Consider the following 26,658-nt stretch of genomic DNA (forward strand, 5'->3'; position numbering starts at 1 on the left):
GCCATTTGGATTTTTTTATTCTCTTTTTAAATACTGTACAGTGAAAAATAAATACGCCTTCTCATCCACCAGACAAGGTTGGTCCCCTCCCCAGGGGGACCTTGTCACCCCCCTTCATACACACCCCTGGTTCTACTCCAAAACCTTCCCCGTGCCTCCCACCCACTTATCTCTTACTATCCCCGTCTTCCACAGTGATGAGGCCCCAGAAATGGGGGGTACAGGATGGGAGGAGGGATAGCAGGGGAGGCCCCCTGAACGGTCAAATCTGGGTGGGTCGAGGAGCACCCCCCACCAACAGGTGGAGAATGGGGGTGTTCAGAGAGAGATTGGGGCATTAGAGGATAAAGGCACATCCAGTCTGATGGGGAAGGAGAGAGGCTCCCCTTACCCTGGGGGTAGGGTGGACAAGAGGGAGGGGGTATGACCCTGTTACACACCCCTCCACTAGCTCCTGGAGGTTGGGGGGTACCCAAGCTGCTGTGCCACCCCCCTCCCCCCTAGATAAGAGCAGCTCCAGCGCAGGTCAGTTGGGCCTGTGAGGGCCATGGTGTTGGGCAGCAAGCGAGATGGAGAAGGGAGGGGTGCAGGTTGGAGGTTTTATGAAACCCCATTCACCATACTACCCAACTCCAAGGGGGCGGAGAGCTCCCCATTCTCCGAGGGGCCCTTAGGAAGCTTGCTGACAGAGTCACCCTGAGGGGAAAGTGGGAAAGAAAACAGAAAAGCAAGAAGCGGTGAGTAGAAATTCAGGTGGGAGACATTCCCTACCATCCAAGCCCTCCTGGCATTTGGTGATCCAGAGGTTGGTTCCCTGATCTCATGATCCAGTCTCTCTTACTTGGGATCCAGAAAATGTGAACCACACTTTCTTCTCTATCCTATTCAAAGTTTACACTGGTCTAAACTCCATCAGACACAGCTGCCTCTGCAATTCAGTAGGAGATTTGTGAAATTTTTTGTGCCCCCTGCCCCAGAGTAACAACAAAAAAGGGATGGGGTAAAGCACATCTTGCCTGCCTACCTTCTGTCCTGAAAGAGAGTCTTCTGAGGGTTTAGTGCGTTCCAGGGGTGGCCTCTGGCGGCTCTGAGACTCTGCTCGTGAGATATAGTCAGCCACAGTCACTGGGGAAGGCAGGAGATTAAGACTTTCAGATGGAATTCTGGTAGCCAGCCTAAGACACCCACTGAACCCGAACCCCTGATTTTCACAGGGGTGAGCATCCCATTCTCTCAGCTCTGAGGAAGGATTCTGGTGTCCAGAGTTGGCTGACCTGGCTGGCGGTCTCCACTGATAGAGCCATCAGTCCGATTACCACGGTTACGGCGGCGGCGGCTGCGATTACGACGTTGAGGTCTTGATTCATCTTCTGTAGGGTAGGAAAAAACCAGAGTCACACATCCAACCTCCCACCCTCGATTCCTACCCATCTCTAACTTTCCAGACCCCAGGCACACCCTCACCCAGGCCATTCTCTGTCATGTTGGGCCCATCTGATTCCAGGCCTCCATCCATGACGGTCCTGTCTTCATCAGTGCGGCGGCGGCGGGAGCGGCGGCGCCTGGCACTTGCTGGGGGGGGTTCCCCAGGTTCTGAATCAACCGGGGGCTCTGGTTCAGACGTGTCCAATAGGCTGTAGGGATTACTGTCTGGATCCTTCAGCACTGGTCAGAGGAAGAAGAGGAGGAGTTGGCAGTCAGGTGCCCATCATCTTTCCTTTTGGCCCATATTCATGAACCCAGCTGTCTGGTACCTGAGCTAATAGATGAAGAATTGTATCTCGAAGTGGGCCGGGGGGCAGGTGGGGGTCCCCTACCCCGGCCCCCAGTCGGCCGCCTCCGGCTTTCTTCCCCTCGGGTTGGGGGATCCCTGTCGCCAGGCCCAGCTCGGTTGGGCTCCTCTCTCTTCTCTGACTCAGTCTCTGAAGCTGTAGACACATCTGAGCTGGGGCCTGAAGAACACAATGGGATTTATTCACGGCCATTCATCCCACCTCAGGATCCATCACATCCCCCAAACTGGAAGAATTCTCCTTCTCACTCACAAGCCTCCCAGCCAATCAATCACTTTTTCATCATCTCCATTCCAGATTTCCCCAAACTTCCATCCAGACCTCTGCCTCTACCCACAAGCCCTGCCACTCCTTGCCTCCTGTTCCCATAACTGTCTCACCATAGGCAGGACCGCCTGTCCTCCGGCCACGGCCACGGCCCCCATAGCTGCCCCCATAGGTTCGAGTCGCATGGAGGGAGGAGGAGGAGCTCTCATCAGTGCTATATCCAGCCTTGTCGCTGCCACCGCTGCCCCGCCCACTCCCAGGAGGGCGAAAGCCCAGCCCAATCTGCCGAAGCTGCTCATCAATTTGTAGCCTCTCCAAGCGAAGCTGCTCTACCTCCTGGTTGGGTAAAAGATGGAAGAAGGGGAAGGAGAAATAAGATCAGTGCCTTGCTTCATGCTTCTGCACCCTGACTGTCCCTCTATATCTAACCTCTCAGGAATGCAGGGAGAAGGAAGACACTGGCTAAACAAGGAAAATTCTGGGACCCAACCCTATAGCCCCAAATTTCCACAGATGTTTTCTGTTCTACACGGAGAGACAAACAGAGAACCAAAATCCCTGAGCTGACCCCCACAGCAGTCTTAGTTCCCTTTTCACACCCAGCATTTTTCTCTCCCGGCCTGGGTACCTGCAGGTAGGAGAGGTGATACTCCAGCAAAGCCTGGGCATTGCTGATGTTCTCTCGGGTGCCAACAAAAATGAAGGGAACCATTCCCTAGAGAACAGAGAGCAGAAACGATGGATCAGAAAGGAAAATGAAATGGAAGGATTAACGCCGCCCAGTCTCCTAGGGGAGCCTGCCCAGTGGGATCATTCTGGGCTCTAAATCTACTAGTGTTAAACAACTTTCCGTACTCCACCCTCTCAAAGAACAATCCCAGCCCTCAGAGGACAATCCCATTTACTTCTGGAAACCAATCTCTATGCCCACTTGCCCCGTACCCATACCTCCTCCCTGGGGTTCTTCTTGTCATTATCACCTTCCACTCGAACCCTCACCACACCAGATTTATCCACAATCTCCTGGATCACTTTCCCGTTCTTTCCAATCACTTTGCCTGGAATAGGTAAATGAGGAATTCAGCCTTTTATTTTTTTTAAGGAAATAAGAATAAAGCTGATACACCGTCTTCCAGCCTCATTTTCTTTATATGGATTCCATTTACTTCATTCTCCTGCTTCTAGGTTTCTGATGTGTTTTTACAGGACAAAATGTTACAATCCCTAGAAATTTATTCTTTCATTTTTATCACTCCCATTACAGACTGTTTCTCTGTCCTTGTGAAACTGGGAGTCCACAGGGAGGTGCCAATCCTGGATAAAAGCTCAGAATCACTGTAGAGAATCTTGATTCTGACCTCTAACTGTATATACACACCACCAACTCACCAACCAGGTTCCTGGGCACTTGCACTGAGTCCTCAGAAAACTCAAGGTAGCTTCGGGCCTGTCGGCAAGCCTCGGGAGTCTAAAGGAAGAACAGCAGGGAGTTGTTACTAAAACAGAAGACCAGCTGGATGTGGTGGCTCACGCCTGTAATCCCAGCACTTTGGGAGGCTGGAGGCAGGTGGATAAATTGAGCTCAAGAGTTCAAGACTAGCCTGGGCAATATGGTGAAACGCCATCTCTACTAAAAATACAAAAATCAAAATACAAAAATACTAAAATACTAAAAATACAAAATTGGTGGCTCACGTCTCTAATCCCAGCTACTCCGGAGGCTGAGGCAGGAGATTTCTTGAACCCAGGAGGCAGAGGTTGCAATAAGCTGAGATTGTGCCACTGCACTCTAGCCCGGGCAACAGAGTGAGTTAGACTCCATCTCATAAAAAAAAAAAATTAAACAAATAAATAACTTAAAAAAAAAAACAGAGGACCTTGGCCAGGCACAGCGGCTCACACCCATAATCTCAACAGTTTCGGAGGCTAAGAAGGGAGGATTGCTTGAGGCTAGGAGTTAACAACCAGCTTGGGCAACAGAGATCTGGTCTATTTTTTTGATTTTTTGGTCTCACTCTATTGACTATGTTGCCCAGGTTGGTTCAGTGGCACCATCATGGTGTACTGCAGCCTTGACTTTCCAGGCTCAAGTGATCCTCCTGCCTCCGCCTCCCAAGTAGCCAAGTAGCTGGGGCCACAGATGCATGCCACCACGCTCAGTTAACGTTTTTTGGTTTTTGGTTTTTTTGGGGGGTAAAGACAGGGTCTCTCTATGTTGTCCAGGTTGTTCTCCAACTCCCAGGCTCAAGTGATCCTCCCCTCTATCTTCCCATTTCAGCCTCCCAAGTACCTGCGACTACAGGTACGCACCACTACTTCCAGCTAATTTTTAAATTTTTGTAGAGATTGGGTCTCACTATGTTGCACAGGCTGGTCTCAAACTCCTAGGCTCAAGTGATCCTCTCACTTTGACCTCCGAAGGTGCTGGGATTACAGGTGTGAGCCACTGTGCCCAGTTTGAGGCTTATTTTCTACTTCGGCCTCTCTTCCCTCTATCCCCTAAGAGACCCAGAAGAAAGACATCCTTTGCTGACCTCCCCATAGATGCGGAAAGTGCAGGTCTCTTCACCCAACTCAATGGCGGTCACCCCAGGTACTTTTCGGGCCTGCTGGATGTTGGCACCGTGAGTCCCAATTGCCAGTCCCATCAGGTCCTCTCGCACTGTGAACTCCTCTTGGAAGGCTGCTGCCAACTGCTTGCTTGTCTGAAAGGAAAAGTCACTGTAGGAATCATGGTGGTAGAATCTCACAGTCCCAGGCACACGACCCTTTGCATAACTTAAATAAGGAAAACTGTGTGATATTAATAGAAAGCTAGAACCACTCTGGAGTCCGCGGACCACGAGGACCTGTGTGGAAAGGTCAGGAACTTTTTGTTTTTTCTTTGAGATGGCGTCTCGCTCTGTCGCCCAGGCTGGAGTGCAGTGGCGCGATCTCAGCTCACTGCAACCTCCGCCTCTCGACTTCAAGTGATTCTCATGCCTCGGCCTCCTGAGTAGCTACGACTACAGGTGTCCACCACCATGCCTGGCTAATTTCTGTATTTTTAGTAGAGACAAGGTTTCACCATGTTGGCCAGGCTGGTCTCAAACTCCTGACCTCAGGTGATCCGCCCGCCTCAGCCTCCCAAAGTGCTGGGATTACCGGCATAAGCCACCACGCCCGGCCAAGGTCAGGAACTTTTAATTCCACTCCTTCCAAATACCAGTGGTTTGTGGGGGAGGAAAGGTAAAGAGGGCAGAGTTTGGACTGGGACACACCGAAGTTCTGGATTTGGCCCTAACAGTATCTGTCCCTAAGAGTATCTATCTGTGTGATCTTAAACAAAACATACTCTGCCTCTTGTGTCATCTGCTAAGTGATTATATCCAACTTATCTTATTCTCAAGACTAGCAAGAGGATTAGACAAGGCTGGTGTGAAAGTACTTCTCACAAGGTACATGCAAGTGTAAGGAACTCTTACCTTAATCAAACAAATATCAACTCATCCCCAAATAAAACTCAACAACTTAAGTAAAAAGTGAGGGGTAGGCTGTGCGCGGTGGCTCACGCCTGTAATTCCAGCACTGTGGGAGGCTGAGGCAGGTGGATCACAAGGTCAGGAGATCAAGACCATCCTGCCAACATAGTGAAACCCCATCTCTATTAAAAATACAAAAATTAGCTGGCCTTGGTGGGGTGTGCCTATAATCCCAGCTGCTTGGGAGGCTGAGGCAGGAGAATTGCTTGAACCAGGGAGTTGGAGGTTACAGTGAGCCGAGGTCATGCCACTGCACTCCAGCCTGGTGACAGAGCAAAACTCTGTCTCAAAAAAAAGTGAGGGGTTAAGAAAAACAGAAAACATGCCTCTAGAACACCAGGCTTTCACTTCATTTCTCAATCAGTCCTTAGAGGAACCCCTGGGTTCAGGGGCAGGAAGACAGGAAAGGTTTTAGAGGAGTGAATCCCATGTTGTAAGCACCAAATAGAAACAATACCTGAAAGGAGACATTCCTAGATTGAAATACACTACTTCCCACTTCCAAGTTGGATAGGACTGAATTATACCAAGGATTTATACCAGGCAAGAAGAGAAAGTTGGAAAAATAAACTAAGTTGAGTGTTCAAAATCACTACATTAGGAGGGGAGGGGAAGAGATCTACAATGACCTATAAGCGTCTTCTAGATAAGCTTGCAGAACAGCTGGGTTTTCTTTTTTTTTTTTCTTTTTTTTGAGATGGGGTCTGTCACCCAGGCTAGAGTGCAGTGGCATGATCTCTGCTCACTGCAACTTCTGCCTCCCTTTTTTTGTATTTTTAGTAGAGAAGGGGTTTCACCATGCTGGCCAGACTGGTCTCAAACTCCTAACCTCAGGCAATCCACCTGCCTCGGCTTCCCAAAGTGCTGGGATTGCAGGCGTGAGCCGCTGCACCCGGCCCCTTTCCGGTTTTTAGAGGCTTCACTACTAGGCATGACTGATTAAATCACTGATCCTCAGTGATTGCCTTAACCTTTGGCCCCATTCCCCTCCCAGGAAGTTGGTGGGGGTGAGGCTGAAAGTTCCAACCCTCTAATCATGAAGCCACCTAGAGGGGCTAGCCATGAATCAACTCATCAGCACACAAAAACACACATCACTGGAGATTCCAAGGATTTTAGAAGTTGAATGCCAGGAGCCTGGTCAGGAGACCAAATATGTATCTCTCAGTATCACAGAGCCTGTCAGTCCTACTGGTTTTACTCGTAAAATTTATCCTACATAAAACTACTCTCTCTCTCTTCCTTTAGCACTCCAGTTCAAGTTTCTCACCTGGACTACTGTGCTCTGTTCCTGCTTCCATTCTTGCCCCCCTTTCCATCTGTCATTGAAACAGGAGTTTAAAACAGAAGGCACTTTCGGCCGGGCACAGTGGCTCTCGCCTGTAATCCCAGCACTTTGGGAGGCCGAGGTGGGTGGATCACGAGGTCAGGAGATCAAGACCATCCTGGCTAACACGGTGAAACCCCATCTCTACTAAAAAAAAATACAAAAAAATCAGCCGGGCGTGGTGGCAGGCGCCTGTAGTCCCAGCTTCTCGTGAGGCTGAGGCAGGAGAATGGCGTGAACTTGGGAGGTGGAGCTTGCAGTGAGCCGAGATCACGCCAATGCACTCCAGCCTGGGTGACAGAGCGAGACTCCGTCTCAAAAACAAAACAAAACAAAACAAAACAAAAAACCAGAAGGCACTGTTAACTCAATGGCTTCTCAGTATACGCACAATAAAATCCCCCCTCCTCAGCCTACCGTACATGTCTTACATGATCTACTCTCTGACCGAATTTTGTATCGGTCTCCCTTTGCTCACTCTGCGCTAACTACACAAGCTGCAGTGAGCTGAGATCGCACTACTGCACTCCAGCCTGGACGACAGAATGAGACTCCGTCTCAAAAAATTAAAAAACAACAACAAAAATTAGGCCGGGTGCAATGGGTCATGTCTATAATCCCAGCACTTTGGGAGGCCAAGGCAAGTGGATCCCTTGAGGCCAGGGGTTCGCGACCAGCCTAGCCAACATGGTGAAACTCCGTCTCTACTAAAAATACTGAAATTAGGGCCAGGTATAGTGGCTCATGCCTGTAATCCCAGTACTTTGGGAGGCCAAGGCAGGTGGATCACCTGCGGTCGGGAGTTCAAAACCAGCCTGGGCAACATGGTGAAACACTAAAAAAGCAAAAATTATCCAGACGTGGGGGCGCGTGCCTATTATCCCAGCTACCTGGGAGGCCGAGGCACAAGAATCGCTTGAACCCAGGAGCGAGAGGTTGCAGGGAGCGGAGATTGTGCCATTGCACTCCAGCCTGGGTGACAGAGGGAAACTGTCTCCAAAAAAAAAAAAAAAATAGCCAGGTATGGTGGCATGCACCTGTAATCCCACCCACCCAAAGGCTGAGGTGAGAGGATCACTTGAGCTCGGGGGGTAGAGACTGCAGTGAGCTGAGATCGCACCACTACATACACTCCAGCCTGGATAACAGACTGAGACTCCATCTCAAAACAAAAAACAAAAACAAAAAATAAAGTTTGTATCATCTGAAGGTAATGGTGAATTTTTACCTGCCAGTGCCCTGAGCAGGATCCCTGAAGAAGTCAAAGATTATCATGACCCAGAAATTGCACAGGCACAGAAAAAAGCCTCCCAAAAAGATCAATTCCCTTGATAAATGGAAATGGTATTCAAACACACACACCCTATTCACTTAGAATAGTATAATACCAACGAAAGGGAATCTGACAATTATACGATGTCAGAATTCAAAAAGATCTCACAGAAATACTCTAGTCAGGCCAGGCGTGGTGGCTGACACCTGTAATCCCAACATTTTGGGAGGTCGAGGTGGGCGGATCACCTGAGGTCCATAGTTTGAGATCAGCCTGGCCAACATGGTGAAACCCCATCTCTACTAAAAAAGACAAAAATTAGCCAGGTGTGATGGCACACACCTGTAATCCCAGCTACTTGGGAGGCTGAGGCAGGAGAATCGCTTCAATCTGGGAGGTGGAGGTTGCAGTAAGCCAAGATAGCGCCACTGCGCTCTAGCCTGGGCGACAGAGACGCTATCTCAAAAAACAAACAAAAAAACAAGAAATATCCTTTTTTTCTTTGAGATGGAGTTTCACTCTTGTTGCCCAGGCTGGAGTACAATGGTGTGATCTCGGCTCACTGCAACCTCCGCCTCCCAGGTTCAAGCGATTCTCCTGCCTCAGCCTCCCGAGTAGCTGGGACAACAGGCGCCTGCCACCACGCCTGGCTAATTTTTGTAGTTTTAGTAGAGACGGGGTTTCACCCATGTTGGCCAGGCTGGTCTTGAACTCCCGACCTCAGGTGATCTGCCCGCCTCAGCCTCCCAAAGTGCTGGGATTACAGACGTGGGCCACCGCGCCCAGTCATATCCTTTTTTTCTTTGAGACAGAGTTTCACTCTTGTCACCCAGGCTGAAGTGCAATGGCGCAATCTTGGCTCACTGCAACCTCCACTTCCCAGGTTCAAGCGATTCTCCTGCCTCAGTCTCTCGAGTAGCTGAAATTACAGGCATGTGCCACCACGCCCAGCTGATTTTTGTCTTCTTAGTAAAGATGGGGTTTCACCAGTCTCGACTCCCAACCTCGGATTGATCTGCCTGCCTCGGCCTCCCAAAGTGCTAAAGTGCTGCGATTAAAGGCGTGAGCCACCGCGCCCACCCTAAAAAATAAATATTCTAGTCTAGGCTGCATGTGGTGGCTCACACCTGTAATCCTAGCACTTTGCAAAGTACAGGCAGATGGATCTCTTGAGCCTAGAAGTTCAAGACCAAGGCCGGGCGCAGCGGCTCATGTCTGTAATCCCAGCACTTTGGGAGGCCGAGGCAGGTGGATCATGAGGTCAGGAGTTTGAGACCAGCCTGGTCAACATGGTGAAACCCCATCAATACTAAAAATACAAAAATGAGCTGGGTGTGGTGGCACAAGCCTGTAGTCCCAGCTACTCAGGAGGCTGAGGCGGGAGAATCGCTTGAACCCAGAAGGTGGATGTTGCAGTCAGCTGAGACTATACCATTACACTACAGCCTGGGTGACAAAGTGAGACTCCGTCTCAAAAAAAACCATTCAGCCAGGTGTGGTGGCTCACGCCTGTAATCCCAGCACTTTGGGAGGCTGAGGCGGGTGGATCACATGAGGCCAGGAGTTCGAGGCCAGCTTGGGCAACATGGCAAAACCCCATCTTACTAATAATACAAAACTTAGCCGGGTGTGGTGGCGCACGCCTGTAATCCCAGCTACTCAGAAGGCTGAGGCATGAGAATCGCTTAAACACAGGAGGCAGGGGTTGCAGTGAGCCGAGATCGTGTCATTGCACTCCAGCCTAGGCGACACAGCGAGACTCTGTCTCCCAAAAAAAAAAAAAAAAAATTGGCTAAAAGAAATTTGAAAATAATTGCACTATACCATGATAGAGCTCTGCCATCTGGAGGAGTCTGAGATAAAATAGCTGACCCAGGTTTAATTGCCCAGAAAAAGCCTTAGTCTTTGTTCTGTAAACACAAGATCATGGATGGAGGACAGGGTAGGAAGGGAGGAAGACAATACCCTTCAGCAGAAGGAAAAGGAGCTAAAAGTTACCTCTAGGTGCTTGGTAGCTTCTTCATTGCGGGACATAAGTAGCAGTTTGGTGCGCAGGCTTCGGAAATGCATATCACCCAGCAGAGATGCTCGCTTCACAGGGGCTTCTGTGGTTGACTGGGAGGAAACCAGTGGGAAAGTCATTAAAACTGGCTTGGAATAAACACTAAGGGAGAGCCAGGGACTAGAAATCAGGATGCCTAAGTCCCGGGAAAAGGGTTAAGAAATGAAGCTAGGAGACCGGGCGCGGTGGCTCATGCCTGCAATCCCAGGACTTTGGGAGGCCAAGGCAGGCGGATCACGAGGTCATGAGATCGAGACCATCCTGGCCAACGTGGTGAAACCCTGTCTTTACTAAAAATACAAAAATTAGCTGGGCGTGGTGGCACATGCCTATAATCCCAGCTACTCCAGAGGCTGAGGCAGGAGAATCGCTTGAACCCGGGAGTCGGAGGTTGCAGTGAGCCGAGACTGCGCCACTGCACTCTAGCCTGGTGACAGAACAATACTCTGTTTTCAAAAAAAAAAGAAATGAAGCTAGGAAGGAGGAGACTCATTGTCAGTCCCACAAAGGCTGACTATCAGGGTACTGAAGGAAAATGGTTTAGAGAGAAAGCAAGGAGCAAGCATAAGGTGAGAGCTACATACTCTATTTCTGAAAGTCCAAATATCAAGAGAGGGTCTCTAACCCAGATGGCAACATGATTATCAGGTTTAAAAAAAAAGGGTCAGAGGCCGGGCGTGGTGGCTCACGCCTGTGATCCCAGCACTTTGGGAGGCCAAGGCGGGCGGATCACGACGTCAGGAGTTCAAGACCAGCCTGACCAATATGGTGAAACCCTGTTTCTACTAAAAATACAAAAATTAGCCGGGCATGTCGGGCGCGGTGGCTCACGTCTGTAATCCCAGCACTTTGGGAGGCCGAGGCGGGTGGATCAGGAGATCAGCAGTTCAGGACCAGCCTGGCCAACATGGTGAAACCCTGTCTCTACTAAAAACACAAAAAAAAATTAGCCAGGCGCAATGGCAGGCGCCTGTAATCCCAGCTACTCGGGAGGCTGAGGCAGGAGAATCGCTTCAATCTGGGAGGTGGAGGTTGCAGTGAGCCGAGATCGCGCCACTGCACTCCAGCCTGGGCGACAGAGTGAGATTCCATCTCAAAAAAAAAAAAATTAGCCGGCGTGGTGACGCACACCTGTAATCCCAGCTACTCAGGAGGCTGAGGCAGGAGAATTGCTTGAACCCGGGAGGTGGAGGTTGCAGTGAGCCGAGATCGTGCCATTGTTCTCCAGCCTGGGTGACAAGAGTGAGACTTCGTCTCAAAAAAAAGAAAAAAAAAAGGTAGGGCTACCTGGGCCTGTAGGAGTCAGGAGCAATAAAGTCCTCTTGACAAATAAATATAAGCACATTTAAGCCCTTCTCTTTCTGCAAAAGGGTTAAAAAGGGAAAAAGAAAAAATGTTCAAAAGGCTTATGTGAAATTCAGGCAGAATAAACTCACCAGAATGAAGAGCTCACTGTTTGTGATGTTGAGAAAGATGCAGTTGGCTCCCAGGGCTTTCTTGAACTCTTTATGGACGTTTTCATTGGAGCAGCTGCAGAGGAAAAAAGTACTCAGCGGGCAGAATGCAGAGAGTACAGTGAAGAGTTCGGGGGAGGCTGGACATGGTGGTTTGCACCTGTAATCCTAGCACTTTGGGAGGCTAGGGCAGGATGATCACTTGAAGTCAGGAGTTCAAGACTAGCATGGGCAACATAGTGAGACCCTGTCTCTATTAAAAAAAAAAAAAAAAATTCAGAGAAGCAGGGCTGAGTAAATAAGAAAAGAAAAGGGACTGGGCCGGGTGCGGTGGCTCACGCCTGTAATCCCAGCACTTTGGGAGGCTGAGGCAGGCGGATCACTTGAGGTCAGGAGTTTGAGACCAGCCTGACCAACATGGAGAAACCCTGTCTCTACTAAAAATACAAAATTAGCCGGGTGTGGTGGTGCATGCCTGTAATCCCAGCTACTCGGGAGGCTGAGGCAGGAGAATCGCCTGAACCTAGGAGGTGGAGGTTGCGGTGAGCCGAGATTGTGCCACTGCACTCCAGCCTGGGCAACAAGAGCAAAACTCTGTCTCCAAAAAAAAAAAAAAAAGAAAGAAAGGAAAAGAAAAGAAGAGGGACCACAGTTAAAGAACAAGGATGGGAAAATAAAGAAACTAAGTGTCTTCTTAGCAAGAAGGGCTCTAGTAGAGGGCCAGGGGAACAACAGAGAAAACTGCAAAGTGGGAGTGATGCCTGGGAGAAATAAAGCCAGAGATTAGGGCTGTAAAGAGGGCCCTCATTCCCACCATCCTTAACACTCACGCTTCTCTCAGATCCTCGGGCACAGCCATGGTAACCTTGAAGAAGCTGCCTTTGGTTGCAAGGGGATTGGGATTAACTGGCCGAAGTCGCTCCAGGGTAACAATTTCATTGTAGGTGGCATCACAGGCAGCATATTCAATGACATAGAACTGGCACATGGTAAAAAAGGAGAAGTTGTGGATGACCTGAGCAACTTTCTATGAATAACATATTTGTTTCAGTAGTTCTCCAAAGGCATTCCCAGTCACTCACATCTCCCTTCATCATCCGCACCCGGGCCAGCCACCAGCCACAAGGTTCCTGTTCATTGGCTCGAGAATAAACCTAAAGAAAAGTAGAGAATCAAAGAGATATTGAAGACCACCCAAAAGCATCAAGAAAGGGATGAGGAGGCCGGGCATGGTGGGGCTCACACCTGTAATCTCAGCGCTTTGGGAGGCTGAGGCAAAAGGACTGCTTATGCCCAGGAGTTCAAGACCAGCTTGGGCAACATAAACAATAGAACAACCATTAAGATATTTGGGGCTGCTGGGCACAGTGGCTCAAGCTTATAATCCCAGCACTTTGGAAGGCCAAGGTGGGAGGATCTCTTGAGCTCAGGAGTTCAAGAACGATCTGGGCAACACAGTGAGACCCCACTTCCACGAAAAAAAAAGAGGCCAAGCGCGGTGGCTTATGCCCATAATCCCAGGACTTTGGCTGAGGTGGGCTGATCACCTGAAGTCAGGAGTTCAAGACCAGCCTGGCCAACATGGTAAAACCCCACCTCTACTAAAAATACAAAAATTAGCCGGGTGTGGTGCCACATGCCTGTACTCCAAGCTACACAGGAGGCTGAGGCAGGAGAATCACTTGAACCAGGAGGTGGAGGTTGCAGTGAGCTGAGACCGCGCCACTGCACTCCAGCTTGGGCAACAGAGTGAGACTTCATCTCAAAAAGAAAAAAAAGGTATTTGGGATGCATCTTTTTTTTTTTTTTTTTGAGACAGAGTTTCGCTCTTGGTGCTCAGGCTGGAGTGCAATGGCACAATCTCAGCTCACTGCAACCTCCACTTCCTGGGTTCAAGCGATTCTCCTGCCTCAGCCTCCCAAGTAGCTGGGATTATAGGCGCCCGCCACCACGCCCAGCTAATTTTTTGTATTTTTAGTAGAGATGGGGTTTCATCATGTTGGCCAGGCTGGTCTTGAACTCCTGACCTCAGGTGATCTGCCCCACTCGACCTCTCAAAGTGCTGGGATTTCAGGTGTGAGCCACTGCATCCAGCCTGGGATGTATCTTAAACCAAGGATACAAGAAACCAGAGGAAGGAACTAATTAAAATCAGAGGACGGCAGGGCATGGTGGCTCATGCCTGTAATCCCAGCACTTTGGGAAGCTGAGGCGGGTGGATCACCTGAAGTCAGAAATTCAAGACTAGCCTGGCCAACATGGTGAAACCATGTCTTTACAAAAATGCAAAAATTACCCGAGCATGATGGCAGGTGCTTGTAATCCCAGCTACTTGGGAGGCTGAGGTGGAAGAATTGCTTGAACCCAAGAGGCGGAGGTTGCAGTTAGCTGAGATCGCGCCACTGCACTCCAGCCTGGGCAACAGAGCAAGACTCCATCTCAAAACAACAACAACAACAACAACAAAAAAATCAGAGGGCACTGGATTTTAGATGTTGTTACCATAAATGGAAGGCAAATCGCCTGAAACTGGGGATGTTCCTGAGAGTTTGGCTGATCACAACAGTGATAAAAGGGGAACTGTTGCATTTTACATTTCCATAGGCTACATGGCTGGATATGGCTTAGTTGGGGAGGAAGGAACATGAACCAACCAGAGAAAAGCCTAGAATCCTGGGGAAAAGTGACATTTAGAAAGGTGTACTCCACAGCCCTTACCTCCACTTCATCCCCTTCTGTGATCTCCTTATTATAGTCAGCTGGAGGTGGTAGCCGGACATCCCCAAAAGGAATTTGTCTCTCACTCTGCCAGCTATAATAGAAACAATAATATGAAAAAGCTACTCTGACTGATATGGTTGCCCATTTCTTTACAAAAGGGTTATTGCCTCAGCTGGGCGAGTTCCACCTATCTGGATAATTAGAGGCTAAACCCCAGGCCCTGCTCCATAGTAGTGTCTTCCATCTCTTTCTAGACTCTAAATACTGGGTCAAATGCCCCCACCCTCACCAAATTCTCAGCCCTTTCCTCTCCTGGGATCCATATGAGTTCCCACCCAAACCCTCAGCTCTCCCAACCTATTACATGCCTCATAGGACTCAGCTGCCCCCTCTTCTCCACTCTCCTTCTAGGACCTAGTATGCTGGATTCTCTATTCCCAAGGTCTTACTTGTTTTCAAAGAAGATGGTGACAGAGTCTTCATGGACATCCTTCACAAAGCCCTAGAATGGATTTTAGAAAAAAGCAAAAAAAATAAAATGACCTTTTACTTCCACCTTAGCCATCAAGGGAATAAGACACCACAAAACCTTAAACTTGAGTTTTAGATAGGGACACAAGTGGTGTAATGAGACAGCCTGAAAGGCTGCACTGGGGAAAGAATATGGGCAGTCAAACAGAGAAAGGAAATGATATTGTCATGGAGAGGTGTATGTACCACCTGCATCAGAACAGCCTGGAAACCAATGATCTACTCAGGCTCCCACAGGGGCCTCCCTATCTGTCTGCCTCCTGTTGTGCTAAGCAGCCTGCCAGAGTTCAATTAAAATACCAACAACATTCAGCAAGGCTAAGAATATCCCATGAGACAGTGTGAGGCTGTCCTGGAACACCTAGAGGACATGAGGATCTGTCGAGAGAGAAGGGCCTACCTCCGCAATACAGCAAGAGATCTGAGCAGACTCGCTGCCCTGATGCATGGGTCCTAAGACAATAATCGGAACACTAGACAAGTTCAAAATTGTGATGAACACAATTTACAGAAGGAAAAATTAAGACTTAATTTAAAAACATCGGTTTTTTAATACTAGAATTGAATCTAGAATGACACTGATAATTTATAAAGGATAATAAAATTTATGGAAGACTCCAATCTTGATATTTTGACAAGAGCAAGAGGGATGACTGAACAGCTGATCCACCTCCTGTGGTCTGTGTCCTCACTAAGGAGGCCAAAGCCATGCATTCACCCCTATGCTCCCAATTTTTCTACCTTCTCCCTATTTTTCACATACAATTAGGGATTTCTAATTTTGAAAAAGGTCTAGCTTATGAATTTATTATTTTATCAACTGTGCTTTTGGTTTCATATCTAAGAAATCTTTGCCCAGGCCAGGCACAGTGGCTCACGCCTATAATCCCAGCACTTTGGGAGGACGAGGCAGGCAGATCACCTGAGGTCAGGAGTTCGAGACCAGCCTGCCAACATGGTGAAACCCCGTCTCTACTAAAAATACAAAAATTAGCCAGGTGTGGTGGTGCATGTCTGTAATCCCAGCTATTTGGGAGGCTGAGGAAAGAGAATCACTTGAACCTGAGAGTCAGAGGTTGCAGTGAGCCAAGATCATGCCATTGCACTCCAGCCTGGGCAACAAGAGCAAAACTCCATCTCAAAAAAAAAAAAAAGAAAAAGAAAAAGAAATCTTTGCCTAATCCAAGGCCACAAAGGTTTTCTCTTATGTCTTCTTCTTAAACTTTTAGTTTTTTGTTTTACATTTACATCTATAATCCTTTATTTTTAGACAGAGTCTCACTCTGTCACCCAGGCTGGAGTGTAATGGCGCAATCTTGGCCCACTGCAACCTCCACCCCCCGGGTTCAAGCAATTCTCCTGCCTCAGCCTCACGAGTAGCTGAGATTACAGGCAACCGCCACCACACCAGGCTAATTTTTTATATTTTTAGTAGAGACGGGGTTTCACCATCTTGGCCAGGTTGGTCTCGAACTCCTGACCTCAGGTGATCCATCTGCCTCAGCCTCCCAAAGCTGGAATTAAAGATGTGAGCCACTGTGCCCAGCCTATGATCCATTTTGAATTAAATTTTATATATAAGGTGAGGTATTGATCAATGTTTTTTAAATTTTTAAATTCTTATTTATTTTTTTGAGACAGAGTTTCGCTCTTGTTGCCCACGCTGGAGTGCAATGGTGCAACCTTGGCTCACCGCAACCTCCGCCTCCCAGGTTCAAGCAATTCTGCCTCAGCCTCCCAAGTAGCTGGGATTACAGGCATGGGCCACGACCCTGGCTAATTCTGTATTTTTAAGAGAGACAGGGTTTCTCCATGTTCGTCAGACTGGTCTCAAACTCCCGACCTCTGGTGATCCACCCGCCTCAGCCTCCCAAAGTGCTGGGATTACAGGTATGAACCATCGCACCAGGCCACTTTTTTTTATTTTTAATATATTTTTAAATTAAAATTTTTTTTTAATAGAGACAGGGTTTCGCTATGTTGCCCAGGCTGGTCTTGAACTCCTGGACTCAAGCAATGCACCCGCCTTAGCCTCCAAGAATGTTGGAATTACAGGTGTGACCACTGTGCCCAGCCCATTTTTTACCTAAAGATATCTTGTTCCAGCACTGTCTGTTGAAGACTATCCTTTCTGGCCAGGGGCGGTAGCACACGCCTGTAATCCCAACACTGGGAGGCCGAGGCTGGCAGATCAGCTGAGGCCATGAGTTCGAGACTAGTCTGGCCAATATGGCAAAATCCCATTGCTACTAAAAAAAAAAAAAAATAATAATAATAATAATATATAAATTAGCCAGGCGTGGTGGCACATGGCTGTAACCTCAGTTATTCAGGGTGGCTGAGGCATGAAAATCACTTGAAGCCAGGAGTTAGAGACTGCAGTCAGTCAAGATCATGCCATCGCACTGCAGCCTGGACAACAGGGCAAACTCTGCCTCAAAAAAAAAAAAAGAAGAAAAGAAGAAAAGAAAAGACAAGACTATCCTTTCTTAGCTGAATTGAACTGCCTTTTCATTTCTATCGAAAATCAGGAAGGGCAATTTAATGTATAATGACAGAAGATTGGTAGTTGATGGAGGACTTTTGGGAGTGACAGAAATGTTCATTCCTTTGATTGCAGTGATGGACTCAGTTACATACATGTCAAAACTTAACAAATGGCACACTTTAAATATGTCTACTTTGTTGTATGTCAATTTCAGCTCAATAAAGATGTTTTTTAAAAAAATTAGAGAGCCCATACAACACAGGGAAACCTCATCTCTGCAAAAAATTTATAAATTAGCAGGGTATGATGGCTTGTGCCTGTAGTCCCAGCTATTTAGGAGGCTAAGGTGGGAGGATCACTTGAGCCAGGGAGGTCGAGGCTGTGATGAGCTGTGATTGCACCACTGCACTCCATAGCTTGGGCAACACAGCAAGACCGTGACTCAAAAAACAAAATAAATAAACAAAAATAAAAGAATTAGAGGTTTCAAAAGGCTAATACACAAGAACTATTCATGAGCTTTGCTGCTAGGGACAAAGGCTAAGCTTAGGAGAGAAAACACCAAAAATGCCCTTGGCAAATGCACAGCTCCCACCTCATAGAACTAATCAATCACAAACACTTACCAGATTGCTATTTCCTTACGATGGGAAAATCTAAGCCTGCATTTCACTCTTCATACAAGCCACCTTTCTCGTCTTTAGGGATATGTCTTGCTATAGAGGCTGCAGTCAGTCAAGATCATTCTTGACTGAATGTTCTTTCTTAGAGCCTTACTACTGCCCAAGGCTTTAATTACTACTGGTACTTCCTGGCCTCTTTTTTACCCATGCTTTTTCTTTCTCTGACATTCTCTTCTCCAGAAATGTTTTTTCTACTCTTCATTCAGATTTTTTTCCTTTTTCAAAAAGAACCTGAGTTATGAGCATGTTCATTCAGGTTTAATGCCAACTCCTACTGTTCTCCATTCAAGTCTTCTGAGGCACTTTTACTTCTACTTGCCTGGGTCTCTCTTCCCTTTTGGGTTCTTCCCTTAGCTCCTGCTCAAGTGTCCTCCCCACTCCCACAACCACTAATATTTTATCCATTCCCTCTTCTTTTCCCTGTAATCCCAACACTTGGAGGCCGAGGTCGGTAGATCAGCTGAGGCCAGGAGTTCGAGACCAGTCTGGCCAATATGGCAAAACCCCATTGCTACTATATATATATGTATACATATACATATATATACACATACATATATATGTATATATACATGTATATGTATATATATACATGTATATGTATACATATATATACATGTATATGTATACATATATATATACATGTATATGTATACATATATATATACATGTATATGTATACATGTATGTATATATATACACACACACACACACACATATATATAAATTAGCCAGGCGTGGTGGCACATGGCTGTAACCTCAGCTATTCAGGGTGGCTGAGATATGAGAATCACTTGAAGCCAGGAGGCAGAGGCTGCAGGGTCGTCTGGATTTCTAGAATTATTCCAACCAGCCTCTTCCGCTGACTTTATCCAGTTCTTTACCCAAAATGTCTACTCCAAGCCTTAGAAGTAGTTTATCAAGGCAGGAGTTACACTGACAGAAAGAAGTGGAAAAGAGACAGAGATGAGAATCACTAATTTACTGCTTTTGTGGAGAGATTTCTACTCCTAGATATATTCAAATCGGCTATGCCTATGGTGTAATCCAATTCTCCTCCACCATGTTAGGCTTGGCCCCAGGGTGAGCAGCAATATTACCCTAGTTTTCCCAGCTACCATGACTTCCAAGGCAGAAATGCAAAGCTCAGAATGGAGTAATCTCTCACATTACTCAGCAGTTCAACCAAATCTCACTCAACCCTTATATTTCCAGGGTCTTTTTCCTTCAATTAGTCTCCAAAACTAGCTCTGTCCCCAACTTCATATTCCAATCCTGTCTCTGCTCCTAAATTCCACCCATTCATCCCATACTAGTTTTTTTCTCCAAGGGTATCTGTGGTGGAAGTGAGCCCCAAGTTCTGCTCAGTCTACGCTCATTGTGAAAATAAGCAGGTGAAGGCAAGAGCAGGTGGGTGGAATGTATTAGGGAGCCACCTAGATCCAGAGGATAACTTGATTCAGTGGCCATAGCATCACCTGGCTTTGGCTTCTGGAGCCTGGCACCAAGCCAGCAGAGGAAGAGAGAGCCCCAGGTTCCTAGGTACTTTGGTTTCCTCAAATTAGAAGATATAAAATTGGTCCCCACCTTCACCGTCTTCTAGTTCTAGACTCCCAAAGCAAAGGAGGGGGTTCTAGGAGAAGAGCAGGAACAGTCTGAGTAAAAACCAAGTACTGAAGCTGAGGATGCCATGTTGATTAAGAAAGGAATGGGGATTAGGATATCCAGATGAGGTTTGGAGTAGGAAGATTGCGCCCTGGACGGTGAATACTTCATTTGGGAGAGTACAACTTAAAGAATAAAATACATTAGGCCATTTTGTACGTCTTAAGCCATTTTGTACGTCTTAAGCATGATGACTGCGGTTTCAAGCTCACGGTGAGGTATGCCTCCCTCAACCCTTGTTACGGATGCCAGTCTGACATGAAAAAAAAAAGGACGGAAAAAAAGAGTAAATTCTGACAAACTTAATTTTCAGATAGCTACAAAATAACTTAGATCCCAGATCTAATATTTTATCCTTTAAGAAAACTGACGGGAGGGCGTGGTGGCTCACGCCTGTAATCCCAGCACCTTGGGAGGCCAAGGCGGGCGAATCTCTTGAAGTCAGGAGTCAGAAACCAGCCTGGCCAACATAGCGAAACCCCGTCTCTACTGAAAATACAAAAATTAGCCAGGCATGGTGTTGCACACCTGTAATCCCAGCTACTCGGGAGGCTGAGGCACAAGAATCACTTGAACCTGGGAGGCGGAGGCTGCAGTGAGACGACATCACGCCACTGTACTCCAGCCTGGATGACAGAGGGAGACCCTGTCTCAAATAAAAAAAAAAGGAAAAGAAAGAAAAGAAAACTGACAACAGGGCCCAATTCTGAGAGAGGAGAAAGGGACCTTCCCAAATGTACAATTCCAGAAGCAGTGTAAATACTCCCTGACCCATCCCAAGTTTGCTGAGTCATGAATATTAAATCAGCAGCAAGGTCAAAACGGATAAGTATCTGTAGGGTACTGAGAGTGGAAGATTAGCCTGAATTTAGGGATTTGTGGTTTTTAACTCAGGAACAGGGCAGAAAATGCTAACCTGCCCAGATCCACATTACCACATTACCTGGCTTTCAGCTCAACCCCAAACTCTACTCTCTGAATCACAGTATCCTGGTCCCCATCTATTCAAGTCTATCACTGCCACAGCACACAGGAGAAAGGGAAAAGATTCAGAGAGACTTTCTGCTGGACACTTATATGTGGGACAGAAAACGTGTCCCTTCCCAGCCATCTCATACAGTTCATTTGAACTGGATACCAATCTTTCTCAGCTGTGCAGGGCTCCTACGCTTCCTAGAACAAAGCAAACATCATATCTTGATCTTGGACTCAACTTAAGAATCACTTTTCTTGGAACTCAGAATTTGGGGGTGGTAAGGACCCAGATGAAGGAAAAGATACCAAGGTAAACAGGGAGGGCCACTTTAGGAAGCTATTTCAACAAAGGTAATGCAAGTTTGGGGAAAAGGATATGAGAGACAAATGTGCTCTATCAAAAGCAGAAAGGAATTAGAGACTTTTGCCAAAGAAAACAGAAATGCTATGGAGGCAGGCTAGAAGAAAAAGTCCCAAGAGTTAGGCAAGTATGCACAAAATGACAAAAAGAGATCAGCAGGGAGCTTCCTTCAGCTAGACAGGGAATAAGGTGATTCCTGGGGATTACACAGGAATACAGAAATATTAGGAGAAAAAGCTAAAAACTTGAATTGAGAAGGTAAGTTAGACATGGGTACCCACAGTCACCGCAGAGAAATAAATCTGATGAGGGAAGTAAGGCAAAAATGGGTAAGTATGAAGAGTGAGTAAAAAATGACTACAATGGCCGGGCGCGGTGGCTCACGCCTGTAATCCCAGCACTTTGGGAGGCCGAAGCAGGTGGATCACTAGGTCAGGAGATCGAGACCATCCTGGCTAACACAGTGAAACCCCGTCTCTACTAAAAATACAAAAAAATAGCCGGGCATGGTGGTGGGCACCTGTAGTCCCAGCTACTCGGGAGGCTGAGGCAGGAGAATGGCGCGAACCAGGGAGGCGGAGCTTGCAGTGAGCCAAGATCGCACCACTGCACTCCAAGCCTGGGCAACAGGGCGAGACTCCATCTCAAAAAAAAAAAAAAAAAAAAAAAAAATGACTACAATGCACTTAGCAACTGAAGTACAGGCAGAAACCACCCAAGAGAAATTACAAGACCCTCTGCAGTTATAGAAAAATATGACTTAGAGAAGGAGTCAAAGAAAGACATTTCCAAGGGCATGAGAAACTAGAGAGGACTACAGTGGGGGAAAAAGGCCTGAGGGGAACTGAAGGAAAGGGGGAAGGGGGATCCACTCTTAACAAGTGATGCCATGGGAAGGTATCTCTTCCCCAGCTCCCCAGGGTGAAATCAAAGAATGAGACAGAAATCAGGAGAGTCTCTAGGACAATTCCAGGCATCAAATCCAAGAGGTTCAGAATACCAACAGTCACACAAAGAAAAACTCTTGGGAGGCAAGAAAGGGCTCTCTCTGGCTTAATCTAAATGGGAAAAAAATGTCCTAGAAAATAGATTCAGAGCAGATAAGGAAGGTGGTATTATAAGGAGTTCTAAGGAACCAAATCCTGGGCAAAGGGGGAGGTGAAATAAGGAAGGGTCTTTGAAAGATGATCCCGTCTTCCAAAAAAGGTTGTCAGATTCCCGAACTGGGATAGTTGGCCAAGAGTCTTCAAGAAGTGGAAATCTTAAGATAAACAGAAGGGAACCTCATAAGCTTCCTTTCAGAGATCCTTTTAGAGATTATGACTATGAAGCTTACATGCCTCAAGACGAAGAAACTATATGAATGACCTGAAGGTATCTGAGGTCTAAGTGAGACCTCAAATCCATTCCTGAGTAGAATGGTAGAGCAGTGGGTCTTGAGATCAAGGTGTGGTGGGGAGAGAGACTTGCGAAAGATGCCACCTTATGGCTGGCTGGGAAGCAACTTGACTGATCCAACCCAGGGTTCCTGAGGTCAAAGATGCCAAACGTCGTAAATGGATCTGACCATTTCTCCTTGGCTTGGGAACCGGAATATAAGATGAAAGTGGGGTGAGTGTTCCAGAGCCAGTAGGCAGAGGCCTCTCTGAGGAAGATGAAAGGATCTTTTACGGGACAGAGGGCCTTCCCAAAGGGACCGTGTGGAAGAAAGACAATTCTCCATGTGCTTGGATCGTGGGGAAGATGTGATTAAGGTCTAAGGTATGTCTTCCACCAGACAACGGACACAGTCAATTAGAAGCTGGGTAAAGGGGTCTCTCCTGCGGAGCGGGGAGCGCCAAGCCAGGGACAATAATGGCCTGAAGTTCATTCTCCCGGAGATGGGGGTAGAAGCAGGTGCAGGTGCCTTAGAGGGGTCAAAAATAAGAGGAACAGGGTTCACTCTAAGCGGTCTCCCAGGGAAGGCTGCGGGTTGGAGCAAGGGTCCAAGATTCTAAGGGCCAGGACTCAGCTCCAGAAGCTCGATCCCGCCCCACGCGTTCCTGCTCCGGCCAGGGGAGGGGGCTAAGGACCGGCGTCCCCAGTCGGCGCGCCGTCTCACCTTGTAGAAGGCCCCGTTGGAGCCGCGCACCTCGACGGGCAGTCCCGGCTCCACATCCCCCCCAGAGGCCAGGCCGCCCATGGCGCCGCCACCGCCTCCGACTCCCCCGGCGGCGGCTGCAGCAGCAGTCTGAGTGCGGGCCGGGCCAGGCCCCCGGCGTCTCCCCGGAGGAGGAGCCGGAGGGGGAGCCGCGGGGGGCGGGAGCCGGGCCGGCCCCACGGCGGCCCTGCCACAGCCAACGAGCAGGGGGCCGGGGCCGGGCCGCTCCCCGTCCGCCGCCGCCGCCTTGGTCTCCGCCACCGTGAGGGAAACGGCCGCCGCCGCCGCTGCCTTCGTCACCTCAGCTTCCGCCCGCCGCCGCCCCCGCTGCTGCCTCAGTCCCGGGACCCGCTGCTGCCGCTGCCGCTCCACAGCCTCCACCTCCCCCTGCCACCGCCGCCTACTGCGCAGGCGCACCGGGCACCCGCCCGCTGCGCGCGGGGCCCCGAGGGCCACCGCGCAGGCGTCAAGGTTAGAGCCCCAGCTAGCGCCAGCTAGCGCATCGGGGCTTCCACATTCCCTTTCACTCTCTCACTCCCCCTCCTGGTCGCTTGCTAGCGCTTGCGCAGAACAAGATTAGCCTTCTTTCTTCACCGCTCCACCGCCCAGCCACCCCGTCTCTTCCTTTCCCCGCCCCACAACACTGAGAACCAACCAATCAGGGGGAGGGAGGGGCCGGGCTCGCTCAGTCCGATTGGGCGGCGTCCGCACAGTCACACAGCGCTCAGGCCACACCCACTCCGCCGCCGCTGGCCCCACCGGGCTTGGACAAGTTAGGGATGGGCATGCGCCTGAACGACTGCTTGGTCACTTTCCCCACCTTTGTCTTTCTTGGTGCGCACGCTCCAAAAAGAAAAAAAAAAGAAGAGGAGTCGCCGCAAGGAAAAAGGTGCTTGGTGCGCACGCGCTGAGCTTTACCCTCTTCGCGTATGCATCGCCGATATTTTAAGAATCTGTAACTCTCTACTGTAGTAGATTTAACAGTCATGGCTCTTACCTTGAAGAGATTGTGATACAATGAAAGTTTTGGCCGGGCGCGGTGGCTCACGCCTGTAATCCCAGCGCTCTGGGAGGCCGAGGCAGGTGGATCACCTGAGGTCCTCGGATCACCTGAGGTCAGGGGTTCGAGACCAGCGTGGCCAAAATGGTGAAACCCACCCCCCCCCCCACCCCGCATCTAATAAAATACAAAAATTAGCCGGGCGTGGTGACACGCGCCTGTAATCCCAGATACTCGGGAGGCTGAGGCAGGAGACTACCTTGAACCTGGGAGGCAGAAGTTGCAGTGAGCCAAGATCGCACCATTGCACTCCAGCCTGGGCGACAGAGCAAGACTCAGTCTCAAAAAAAAAAAAAAAAGAAAGAAAGAATAGAAAGAAAGCTTTAAGAATAGTTTCAGACGGGCGCTGTGGCTCACTCCTGTAATCCCAGCACTTTAGGAGGCTCAGGCGGTGGATCACTTGAGCCCAAAAGTTTGACACCAGCCTCAACAGGGCGAAACCCTGTTTCTACTAAAAATACAAAAATTAGGACGGGCGCGGTGGCTCAGGCCTGTAATCCCAGCACTTTGGGAGGCCGAGATCACGGGCGGGCGGATCACGAGGTCAGGAGATGGAGACCATTCTGGCCAACATGGTGAAACCTCGTCTCTACTAAAATACAAAAAATTAGCCGTGGTAGTTCCAGCTACTCGGAAGGAGTCCCAGCTACTCAGGAGGCTGAGGCAGGAGAATCGCTTGAACCTAGGAAGGTGGAGGTTGCAGTGAGTGGATATCATGCCACCACACTCCAGCCTGGGCAATGAGTGAAATTTCTTCTTTAAAAATAATAATAATGGCAGGGCGCGGTGGCTCATGCCTATAATCCCAACACTTTGGGAGGCCGAGACGGGCGGATCACGAGGTCAGGAGATCGAGACCATCCTGGCTAACACGGTGAAACCCCATCTCAACTAAAAATACAAAAAAAAAAAAAAAAAAAAAAAATTAGCTGGGCGTGGTGGCGGGCGCCTGTAGTCCCAGCTACTCGGGAGGCTGAGGCAGGAGAATGGCGTGAACCCAGGAGGCGGAGGTTGCAGTGAGCGGAGATCGTGCCACTGCACTCCAGCTGGGGCGACAGAGCGAGACTCCATCTCAACAACAACAACAACAAATAATAATAATAGTGGCCCGGCGCGGTGGCTCACGCCTGTAATCCCAGCACTTTGGGAGGCCAAGATGGGTGGATCACAAGGTCAGGAGTTCAAGACCAGCCTGGCCAACATGGTGAAACCCCATCTCTACTAAAAATACAAAAATTAGCTGGGCATGGTGGTGCATGCCTGTAAACCCAGCTACTTGGGAGGCTGAGGCAAGAGAATTGCTTGAACCTGGGAGGCAGAGGTTGCAGTGAGCCCAGATTGTGCCATTGCACTCCAGCCTGGGCAAAAAGAGCGACACTCTGTCTCAAAAAATAGTAATAATAATAATAAATAATGCTGGGGAAATTCAAAATAGGAAAAACTGTCATGAAATAAGGGTAGTAGCAGGAAAACTTCACATTCTGGGAGTTGTCCTATGTTCCATCCACTTCTTGGATTAGAGTAAATGGTAATGCCAATCATGGAAGAGATAACATAGGAGATAAAGGTTTAGAAAATAAGGTGATGAATTTACTTTTATTTTTTTTTTGCCCTTTGAGCTTAGCCACCACATCTGGCTAATTTTTAAATTTTTGTATTTAATGGTGGAGACAAACAGACTTGGAAGTCTCTGACTTCATAGTGTGATGGCAGAAGAAAGACACTGGAAAAATTATTAATATTTATAATAATTATTAATATTGCAACCATGGCCAGGCACAGGGCTCATGCCTGTAATCCCAGCACTTTGGGAGGCTGAGGCGGGTGGATCACCTGAGGTCACCTGAGGTCAGGAGTTCAAGACCAGTCTGGTGAAATTCCATCTCTACTAAAAATACAAAAATTAGCTGGGCATGGTGGCACGCGCTTGTAGTCCCAGCTACTCGGGAGACTGAGGCAGGAGAATCGCTTGCACCCAGGAGGCAGAGGTTGCAGTGAGCCAAGATTGTGCCACTGCACTCCAGCCTGGGTGACAGAGCGAGACTCCATCTCAAAAAATTAAAATAAAAAACAAAAATAAATAAAGGCGATAGAAGAAAGGAAAATAAAGTATAAGAAAATTAAAGGATTAGTCCATGGGATACAACATCTGAATAACCAGAATTCCAGAAAGTGATAACAGAAATAATTATCTGGAAAGGATAAAATCATCTAAAATCAATAGTAATAATTATTCAACAAAATTTTCCAAGGCCAGGTGTGGTGGCTCATGCCTGTAATCCTGGCACTTTGCGAGGCTGAAGCAGGCAGATCACTTGAGCTCGGGCGTTCAGGAGC

At 48.3% G+C, this 26,658-nt stretch overlaps 2 protein-coding genes and 1 pseudogene across 3 annotated transcripts in view, besides 2 other annotated features; 2 read left to right on the top strand and 1 right to left on the bottom strand.

Annotated features, from left to right (window-relative positions):
- FXR2 (FMR1 autosomal homolog 2) lies at positions 1 to 23,668 on the bottom strand. 2 transcript variants are annotated; one of them, NM_004860.4, is made up of 17 exons: positions 23,223 to 23,668; positions 14,868 to 14,920; positions 14,416 to 14,509; positions 12,780 to 12,851; positions 12,528 to 12,676; positions 11,680 to 11,773; positions 10,180 to 10,296; positions 4,595 to 4,765; positions 3,450 to 3,528; positions 3,009 to 3,118; positions 2,689 to 2,775; positions 2,174 to 2,396; positions 1,755 to 1,952; positions 1,465 to 1,665; positions 1,275 to 1,370; positions 1,025 to 1,125; positions 1 to 696 (listed from the first exon to the last, which is right to left on the bottom strand). In NM_004860.4, the coding sequence occupies exons 1-17, from the start codon at positions 23,301 to 23,303 to the stop codon at positions 601 to 603; spliced, it is 2,022 nt and encodes a 673-aa protein (NP_004851.2). In that variant the 5' UTR covers positions 23,304 to 23,668; the 3' UTR covers positions 1 to 600. The 2 variants fall into 2 exon arrangements, with proteins under 2 accessions (NP_004851.2, XP_047293062.1); XM_047437106.1 differs by lacking the exon at positions 1 to 696 and adding an exon at positions 837 to 928.
- On the top strand, positions 19,952 to 20,044 carry LOC124904134 (uncharacterized; annotated as a pseudogene).
- Positions 22,835 to 26,658, top strand: part of SHBG (sex hormone binding globulin) — a 19,309-nt gene continuing 15,485 nt past the window's right edge. The window contains exon 1 of the mRNA NM_001289114.2: positions 22,835 to 22,882. The gene's annotated coding sequence lies outside the window, so the exon portion shown is untranslated. The remainder of the gene's footprint in view (positions 22,883 to 26,658) is intronic.
- Positions 23,223 to 23,752: a silencer, noted in NCBI's record as "silent region_8132". NCBI's record gives its function as "represses an Ori minimal core promoter by ATAC-STARR-seq in GM12878 lymphoblastoid cells {active_cell/tissue: GM12878}" and the evidence as "EXISTENCE:reporter gene assay evidence [ECO:0000049][PMID:35858748]".
- Positions 23,863 to 23,912: a silencer, noted in NCBI's record as "silent region_8133". NCBI's record gives its function as "represses an Ori minimal core promoter by ATAC-STARR-seq in GM12878 lymphoblastoid cells {active_cell/tissue: GM12878}" and the evidence as "EXISTENCE:reporter gene assay evidence [ECO:0000049][PMID:35858748]".

This window comes from Homo sapiens, chromosome 17, assembly GCF_000001405.40.
Source record: "Homo sapiens chromosome 17, GRCh38.p14 Primary Assembly".
Lineage (NCBI taxonomy): Eukaryota > Metazoa > Chordata > Mammalia > Primates > Hominidae > Homo > Homo sapiens.

Coding starts and splice junctions, on each gene's coding strand:
- FXR2 (NM_004860.4), bottom strand. CDS start 23,303: ATGGGCGGCCTGGCCTCTGGGGGGGATGTGGAGCCGGGACTGCCCGTC. Junction 1,126..1,274: donor CAGTGGAGACCGCCAGCCAG/GTCAGCCAACTC, acceptor TGCCTTCCCCAG/TGACTGTGGCTGACTATATC. Junction 697..1,024: donor ACTCTCTTTCAGGACAGAAG/GTAGGCAGGCAA, acceptor CTTTCCCCTCAG/GGTGACTCTGTCAGCAAGCT.